This window comes from Homo sapiens, chromosome 2 (assembly GCF_000001405.40).
Source record: "Homo sapiens chromosome 2, GRCh38.p14 Primary Assembly".
Lineage (NCBI taxonomy): Eukaryota > Metazoa > Chordata > Mammalia > Primates > Hominidae > Homo > Homo sapiens.
The window spans coordinates 78,326,627-78,337,024 of NC_000002.12; the positions used below are offsets into that span (position 1 = coordinate 78,326,627).

Here is a 10,398-nt window from a genome sequence, read left to right on the forward strand (position 1 = left end):
TTTATTGTGAAAGCCATCACTTTAAAATAAAGTAAATATATGAGGGATTTTTTTTCTTTTTTTTAAATTTTATTATTATTATACTTTAAGTTTTAGGATAAATGTGCACAATGTGCAGGTTTGTTACATATGTATACATGTGCCATGTTGGTGTGCTGCACCCATTAACTCGTCATTTAGCATTAGGTGTATCTCCTAATGCTTTCCCTCCCCTCTCCCCCCACCCCACAACAGTCCCCGGTGTGTGATGTTCCCCTTCCTGTGTCCATGTGTTCTCATTGTTCAATTCCCACCTATGAGTGAGAACATGTGGTGTTTGGTTTTTTCTCCTTGCGATAGTTTGCTCAGAATGATGGTTTCCAGTTTCATCCATGTCCCTATAAAGGACATGAACTCATCTTTTTTATGGCTGCATAGTATTCCATGGTGTATATGTGCCACATTTTCTTAATCCAGTCTATCATTGTTGGACATTTGGCTTGGTTCCAAGTCTTTGCTATTGTGAATACTGCCGCAGTAAACATACGTGTGCATGTGTCTTTATAGCAGTATGATTTATAATCCTTTGGGTATATACCCAGTAATGGGATGGCTGGGTCAAATGGTATTTCTAGTTCTAGATCCCTGAGGAATCGCCACACTGACTTCCACAATGGTTGAACTAGTTTCCAGTCCCACCAACAGTGTAAAAGTGTTCCTATTTCTCCACATCCTCTCCAGCACCTGTTGTTTCCTGACTTTTTAATGATCACCATTCTAACTGGTGTGAGATGGTATCTCATTGTAGTTTTGATTTGCATTTCTCTGATGGCCAGTGATGATGAGCATTTTTTCATGTGTTTTTTGGCTGCATAAATGTCTTCTTTTGAGAAGTGTCTGTTCATATCCTTTGCCCACTTTTTGATGGGGTTGTTTTTTTCTTGTAAATTTGTTCGAGTTCTCTGTAGATTCTGGATATTAGCACTTTGTCAGATGAGTAGATTGCAAAAATTTTCTCCCATTTTGTAGGTTGCCTGTTCACTCTGATGGTAGTTTCTTTTGCTGTGCAGAAGCTCTTTAGTTTAATTAGATCCCATTTGTCAATTTTGGCTTTTGTTGCCATTGCTTTTGGTGTTTTAGACATGAAGTCCTTGCCCATGCCTATGTCCTGAATGGTAATGCCTAGGTTTTCTTCTAGGGTTTTTATGGTTTTAGGTCTAACGTGTAAATCTTTAATCCATCTTGAATTAAATTTTGTATAAGGTGTAAGGAAGGGATCCAGTTTCAGCTTTCTACATATGGCTAGCCAGTTTTCCCAGCACCATTTATTAAATAGGGAATCCTTTCCCCATTTCTTGCTTTTGTCAGGTTTGTCAAAGATCAGATAGTTGTAGATATGCGGCATTATTTCTGAGGGCTCTGTTCTGTTCCATTGGTCTATATATCTGTTTTGGTACCAGCATCACGCTACCTGACTTCAAACTATACTACAAGGCTACAGTAACCAAAATAGCATGGGATTTTTTTTTTCTACTTATTCATCCTGGATATCACCTATGTACTGTGGAATCAGATATTGCTTTCTAATTTAATTAACTATAGATATTCTGAGTCCACCAAACAGAAGATAAAATATGAAGTCAATTACTTGATAATCACTTGTTAGTAAGTATCCTTTACTATGTCTGGCATAATTGAGGTCGTTCAAGAGGTCTTAGATATGTCAATGGTGGAATGAATAAGTGAGAGTTGGTCTATTCCCTTTTTTCTCTTGTTGAGATATATACATTTATTAGCAGGCCTTTCAGAGAGAAGCTGTTTTTAATGTTTCATTGGATATTTTTCTGTAACTATGTTTGTAGCTTTGTATGATGCAAAAATTAAGGCAGTATTGATGACTGCCTATAGAGGCAACATTTTCCCAAATTCCTTATTCTTTTGATGAGCCCACATGTTTGCCATCTGTGATTATCTGTGACCTTACAACAAAATACTTGGAGTAGTAGTTCTACCTGTTTGAAAGCTGACTCTGGCTGGTTGTAGGGTCTGATTAAATTTAGACTGGCTTGAGTCTCAGATGGACCCAATGCCTCTGGATCCAACTTATAGTTCTACAGTGTTGTTTGATGTGAGAAATGGATGTAGTGGGCAGTTGTGCCTGTGCAGAGTGCATTTATTCAGCATTACCACCAAGTCCTTTTAACTTCTAAAACTACTTCATCATCATGGAAGTCATAAATTTGCAATTACTCTTCTGAGAAGACAGCTACAAAATATATAACCCACTTTCTTTTAAGAGTTTAATGTAATATCTTTTTTATACTACCCCTGAACTCATGGCCTACCAATTCATGATACTCTTACTTTAGTGCTGTATTCCTTATACATCCTCTGTTCACTTCATTTTTCTATATTACTGATATGTCATTTTTTTTCTTTATATACCAACTCAATGCTGATTATACACAATCTCTTATATTTTTTATATAGGGGAAACCTAAAGAGACAAAGAATAGTAATGCTGTTCCAGCACTGTCCAGGGAAATGAGTGCAGGAATTCAAAGATAATGTCCAAATAGACTTCATGTAGACTGTGTGATTTAAACATCATTTTCCTTTTATGAGATGTCACTTAAAAATCAAATCATATACCATGCACTACTTATGAAATTATGATTATACAAATTTGATTATAATTTTGCCTTCCAAATACTATGCCCACAAGGAGGGAATGATCTACTCAAAGAATGTGGCTGTGTGCTTTAAAAATGTTCTTCCTCACAGTAAAGTAATACACTGAGCCTCACATTACAATTAACTTCATGCAGCAGTTCTTCCAAGTCAAGCATTTTGGTACAGTTGACATTTTATTTTTCATTATTAATTAATAAGTTGGTATTGTAGATTCTCTCCCATGGTTTGTTCTACAGACAGGCCTAGTTTTAGAGAATGAGTCAGGAATAAGATGGACAGAGGTTGTTTGTTGGGATAGAGGAAAAGTTGAGAAAAAATTGCCAGCCGGAGCCAGCTCAGAGAGATTTTTCAACAAAGTATAGGGATACTCTTTTATTTACTCTAGACTTCTAAGGCTGAATGAGGGCAGAGACTCTGGGATGGTTTATTAAACTATCAGCTGTAGCATCAAGGGCAGTATAATAATGTCTTAAAGTAATTTATATCTTCTCAAATAAATATTTTGCTTATTAAAAAGCACAATTATGAGTTTTGTATAACAAAAAACAACTGAGATAAAGATCTACCAAAAGGAAAATAACAATGTGTATGTGATATTATTGCAATCCTACAAATTATATTATTGTAATTCCAAGGCTGAAACAAAAATACTTTGCCAATGCTTTATGTGTAGTAACATTTTTTTGTGATAAAAACACATTAAATATTAAGACAGTGTGCTATTAGGCTTCAGTAGAGAAACAGAACCAATAGAAGATTATATTTAATATATGTATACTAATATAATAATACATACTAAATATATATGTGTCCATATGTGTGTGTGTGTGTAATATATTTAATTATGGAGAATTCACTCACATGTCTATGGAGGCTGAGAAATCTAATGATCTGCCATCTGCAAATGGAGATTCAAAAAAACCAATAATGTAGATCAACAGGCCTGAGAACTAGGAGAATCAATAGTGAGAGTCTCAGATTGAGGGCAGGAGAAGATTTATGTTCCAGCTGCTGCAGTCAGGGAGAAGGGGTAAATTATTCCTTCCTTTGTCCTTCTATTTAGGCCATAATGAATTGAATAATGTCCACCCACTTTGATGGGTGGTCAATCTTCTTTACAGAACCTACTGATTCAAATGCTAATTTCATTCATATACATCCTCACAGGCACACCCAGAAATAATGTTTAGCAAAATATGTGGGTAATCCATGGCAGCATGCACACAGGATACCATGTACTGAGTCTTAAAATAAAACAAAGCCCAAACCTGATTTACTAATACAGTCCAGAAAGACTCAACAACACATTTTTCTTCTTTTATGGCACAATGCACACAAAGTTTAATAAGACTGAATGCAATTTTTATTTTCTCTTGAGAAAATTTGTGATTTGTGATGCTACATTTACTATGTATCTAAAATAAAAATATCTGTATCATAAAACTAGTATTGTTCTGACCATAAGTTAATTAAACCATAAAGATAATCATTGTTTCCAAAAGACGTAAATATCCAAACATGGAAATCAGAAATCAGAATGATTAACCCCACCTTTATTTTTTTTAAATCATCTCAGCTTTAAATGCCAGCTTAGTTTTATGGGAATAGTCTACATTAAAATGTTAACACTATGAATCTATTATGTAATTTAATTTAAATAAGGTAATTCAAACATTTGCTTCCATTAAAACTTATAAAACAGCATTTCAGTAAATCTATTTTTATTTATATAAGAAGATTGCCATTCAAGCATGTTGTATTATAGAAGTTAAGTGTTAAAAAAAATCCTAATTTTTTGAATAAAATAGCATAGAGTTCATTCGTTTCTATTGGTTGAGGTTTTTCTAATGAATATTTAAGCCCAAATTTTATATTATATATAATGACTTAGGAAAACAACTGCTCTAATAATGCAACTGTCAGTGTGCAAAATTGTAGAATTTTAATTACAAACTTTTTTATATTTCAAAATTACAAAAAAGATTTTGTCATTTTTAAGTTTTAAAATTTTTTTTAAACATTGAAACGTATATGCATAAAACAAGTATTCTTTCTTGGAAAATTAATTTAGTTTTATGTATGTTTAAAATGAAGGTAATTTTTTTTCTAGAATACTATGACTATAATAAAAATTTGTCATCAGGGAAAATCATTAATAAATAGTTTTAAAAGTTTTACTAGAAATACAGTTGCCAATTTCTCCAACATATAATTGAATGATATTTTATTCTCAGAGTTAAAATCTGGGATGGTAAATTGAGGTTTTGTTTCAAGCACCTCTTAGGCAAATAATTACAGTATATAAAATATGAAAACATACCAGTAAAAAAATCAAATACAAGACAAACATCTTTATAACAATGACAGAAGATACAATGGCAAATGTGTTGAATCAATGGGCTTCTTGAGCTTTGATGAGTACAGAAGTGGGTGGCAGCATCCAGAAATTTTGCTTCTATGGAAAACAAAGAGCTAAGTGTCCCCCAACCAAGATGGCACACCTGAATCAGGCTTACATATTAGAACTAGAGACTCCATATGAACCCCATATGCTAAAGAATGGAGCCTGAAAAATAATAATGCCCAATGGTACCTAGAGCAATTTCAAATGCCAAGCTAACGAATGGTAGGTAAAAGGATATCCCATTTTGGGTCAATGACTAGATCTGCCATATTATCCAGATTACTACAAGGCCATTAATGCAAATATAGAGCACTAGATTTTATACTGAAGAAAAACAACTACTAAAAAAAACAAACAAAAACAAAACAAAGCCCAAGACCCTGAAGAAATTCAATGTCAGGGAAAAAAAATTTTTAAAAAAATCATATTTAGAATTTTAGCTTTTATCTGTTGAAGTTGCATTACCATCTCAGCAAATACTTTTTAAAACTCTATTAATAATTCAAGTATAGAAATAATGTATCATATTACATTTAAAATTAGCATAAAGTTTTGAATAGAATAATATTCCATTAATATAAAAAGGGTTAGAAATCATAACATAAACTATATTTCACTTAAAATATTTTTCAAAAAAGTCTGCAAATCTAGCTTGGATAGAGTTAAGTGGTCAATGCAAGATAGTGAGAGAACTCGTGCAGAACAGACAGGACACATGTAGAAAGATTGCACTATAAAATGTTAAAGAACTCTTACGAGACATGGAGGATACACTCAAAATCTCCAATAATAATTTAAGAGTTGAAAACAAGAGAGCAAAAACTAGAGAAGTAACTGTATTTGAGTATTTTTAATGTTTTCAAAATTGAAGGGGGGAAGATAGCTCTAATAAAATTTGCGTTCTTAAAGATAAATAGAATAAATAACCCCATATCTAGATATTTTATAGTGAAAAATGTACATTAATGATAAAATAGGTCATAAAAGCTGCTAGTGAAAAGATAGTTTAACAATAAGGAAGTGCCTGACTGACAATGAACATTTTATTTGCAACAATAGATGCCAAAAGTGAATGGGGTACTATATTCACACTGTTAAAAGGAAATAACTCTAACATATAATTTTATATCCAAGCATAATATTTTCAAGAGTAAGCAAAATAAAAATGTCTTTCAGCTATAGACACGCAGAATAACAGGAAATTTGACCACCCACAGAATTTGACTTGAAAAAACTATTAAAGAAAAATGAAATACTGAGATAAAGATGTAAGAAACTCTGTTGAGAACAGAAATTGATATAATGTAACAATAAATGTATTTAACACTTTAAGAAAAACTTTTATTTTGCAAAAAGGAAATTTAAATATTTAAATAATAATATTGGAGAAGAGTATTCAAATGATGATCAATTCCTAGTAAGTATGTTGTGAAAAGGAAAGAATATAAAAGTAATGACTGATTTTCTTGGAAAAAATATTATTGATTACCAAATAGCTTAGAAATTTGAAGGCAATCACTAAAACTATGTAAGTATAACTCAAAGTCTCCAAACCAGCAGGGAACAAACAACAGAAAAATAATATCCGATAAAAAATGTATCCATACTACACTTGAAGGGTTGTATAATGAAGAAAGCATGATGAAATCCTGAGAATCTTCTAGATTCAACTTTGGGGTCTATTGGTAAAATGGTATCAAACTAGTGCTCCCTCCATAAACAACTAGAAAACTGACGAAATATTTGAAACAATAGCTCTTGTTAAATTAAAACAGAGACAAGCCATGATGAATCCCTGAGCAGACAAAGCCAATTAAACCTCATAAATTGTCCTAATCTTGCTTGATTTGCAAACATAAATTAAACTTATATTGAGCTATTTCTTTTTTTTTTTTCTTTTTCCCGAGACAGAGTTTTGCTCTTGTTGCCCAGGCTGGAGTGCAATGGCACCATCTCGGCTTACCGCAACCTCTGCCTCCAGGGTTCAAGTGATTCTCCTGCTTCAGCCTCTCAAGTAGCTGGGATTACAGGTATGCACTACCGTGCCCAGCTAATTTTGTATTTTTAGTAGATATGGGGTTTCTCCATGTTGGTCAGGCTGGTCTCGAACTCCCGGCCTCAGGTGATCTGCCCGCCTCGGCCTCCCAAAGTGCTAGGATTACAGAAATTTAAGCTGTAACACATAGGGTGAAACTGCCTAAGGCCAGACAAAGAACTACAGGGGTATATTTACTATTTCTGAAAAAATAAACTTTTACACACTTAGCAGCTGGAAAAAATGTTATAGTTTCTGTGGATCAGATATGTGAGCATGACAGACTGAATTTTCCTTTCAGTATCTCATGAAACTGACATCAAGGTGCCAGCCATGGCTTTGGATTTATTTACAATCAGGGTCTTCTAAGCCCACTCATTGTTGACAGAATTAATTTCTTTATGGTTGTAGGAAAGAGCTCCCCATTTTCCTTCCATGTCTCATTCACAAACTACACTCAGCTCCTCTAGGACACCTAACAATTCCTTGCTACGGGTCCCCTTAGGTAGTTTACAGAATAGATGTGTTTTTTGTTGTTGTTGTTTTGTTTTGTTTTGTTTTTCATTCCAGGTCAGACAGAGCATACTCTTTTTGGCTTTCTCTTCTGCAGAAACTCTCTTTTTTTTAAAATAAAAAGACAAATAAAAACATTAAAAAATAAAATAAATACAATTAACATTTTATACTATTTTTTTCGAGACAGAGTCTCGCTCTGTCTCCAGGCTGGAATGCAGTGGCGTGATCTCGGCTCACTTCAACCTCTGCCTCCCGGTTCAAGCGATTCTCCTACCTCAGCCTCCCGAGTAGCTGGGAATACAGAATTGTATTTTTTAAAAGACAATCAGATTAGAAAAATGAGCTATATGCATTATAAAACAGAATAAAAACTTGTAAAAACATAAGGGCAATCATATACATATAGTGACCTAACAATTTGCCTGTAAGTATATCCAGCAAGCAACATGAAAATTAAAAATTACAATTGAAAAATAGACAATTATAGTGGGAAAAAGGTTTTACATATTTGTCAAAACTTGAGAGATAAAGTAGAATATAATAAGGCTATAAAACTTTGTTTCAAACCTCAAAAACAAAAAAAGTTATTAAATATACATTTATAGAATGCTACATCTAAGAAATTGAGAATAGGTATTGAAATGTATGAAAACTTTATTTAAAAATGTCTGTATACTAGCTCATAGAAATATTCTCACCATTCTTCAAAGAAGCAATATTATAGACACCATGTTAATGGACCACAATTACATAAAATTAGGAACTAACATTAAAAATGTAAATGAAAACAATTACAAATTAGATAATTTAGAAGATTCTCCTGTTCCTTCGAGAATTAAATATGAATTCACCATAGCATTACAATATTCCATAATAACAATAAAATTATATGCACCTATACATGGGATATTTTGAAAAAAATTAAATTAAATATTCAAATAAAGCCAGCAAAATGACACAACATAAAATGAGAGAAAGAAGAATAAAAGAATCACTGTGCTTTTTAATGAGACATTCATGCACTATAACGTACAATACAAAACACACATCACATCAAGAATATCAAAAGGTATTGTGTAGATTAAAAATTATAAAATGCTTTTATTCTCAATAGTTTATTGATAGAAAGAGGAATAGAAAGCACAAACATAAAAAATATTTTGAAGGAGATACCAGTAACAAGTATAGATGTAATGGAAAATTTAAAGTCACAGATAAACACTGTGAACAATTTTTATTTATTAAATTTGAAAACATAAGAATAGAATGTATGTATCATACTTAAAGAAAAAATTTCCAAAATTTTACCAAGGAAAAAAAAACACATAAATCAAATACACCAAACTCAGTATCATTGAATGGCAACTGACAGTAATTCCCATACCAATAATCAAAAAGCAGGTCCATATAATTGTATTAAAAATCTTACTTAAATCTTTTTATTGTAAAATAAGTTACAATGTTAATAAAGTCACACAAAAGCTGGTATAGCGATTAATACAATATTATAGAGCAAACATGCTTATAAATCATCAACAAGATCAAGAATTAGGATCCTATCAATCACAAGCCTTTCCCACCTACTAAAAGAAACCACCATCATGATTTTCATAATTACTGTTTTGCACTTCTCTATATTTTTACTAAAGTGTGCATAATTTAAAAGTAAAATGTAATCTTTCTCACTTTTAATTTTGATTATTTTTTCTAATTTTAATAACTTTTTTTGACGATAGTTTTAGATACACAGAAAAATGGAGAAGAGAGTATAGAGGGAGGCCCTAAATATTCAACACCCAGTATCTCCATCATTAATATATTTACTTGTTCACTTAGTGAACAAATATTTATACAGAAGTATTAACTAAAGTTCATCAGTTTTTCTTTGGCTTTTTCATAATGTTCTTTTTCTTTCCCAGCTTCCCATTCAGAATACTAGGTTAAATTTTGCTATAATGTCTACTTAGGCTCCTCTTGGATCTGATAACTTCTCAGACTTTCTTTGTTTTTGTTGATCATGATGTTTTTGAGGAGTAATGCTCAGGTATATGCTTCCCTGTTGGAATTAGTTGGGTATTTTTCATATGATTACATTGGAGTTGTTGGCTTGGGGGAAGAAGATTACTGAGGTTAATTACCACTTTTCATCACATCATATCTATAGTACATGCTATCAACATGACTTACCACTGTGGATGTTGTCATGGTCACCTGGGTGAGGTGATGCTTGCCAGGTTTAACCTGGCGAAGTTGGATATTTTCTCATTTGATATTCTACTCTTTGGAAGTAAGTCACTACGTGCAGCTTACACTGAAGGAATGTTAAGCTCCATCTAATTGAGGATGGATTATCCACATAACTTTTTGTAATTATTCTGCATGGGACATTTGTCTCTTCTCTCCCACTTATGAATCTTTTCAATTATTTATTTACATCATTGTAAACTCATGAATATTTATTTCCTACATTACAGTATAATTTAGTACTTCTTTATTTATTTTGTTGCTCAAATTTTCCAAATTTGGCCATTGAGAGCTCTTTCAACTAACTTCTCTGACCCTTTGAAATACTCCCTTCATGTGTGTCTTCTTATTTATTTTTAGCACTTTATTACTTTCTGGCTTGATAAAATACTACAGCCTCATCTTATACATTTACCTAAGTCCTGGAGTCAGTCATTTATCCCAGTTTCCCAGGTTTCTTTTACTGAAAAATAATATTAGAAACAAAGATGTGGGTACCAAGTGTGCTTAATGTGACTGAGTTCTC

General features: G+C 32.4%; 1 annotated feature.

Moving 5' to 3' along the window:
- Positions 3,491 to 3,992: an enhancer, noted in NCBI's record as "NANOG hESC enhancer chr2:78557243-78557744 (GRCh37/hg19 assembly coordinates)". NCBI's record gives its function as "activates a minimal SCP1, AML or CMV promoter by ChIP-STARR-seq in primed H9 embryonic stem cells {active_cell/tissue: H9 hESC(primed)}" and the evidence as "EXISTENCE:reporter gene assay evidence [ECO:0000049][PMID:30033119]".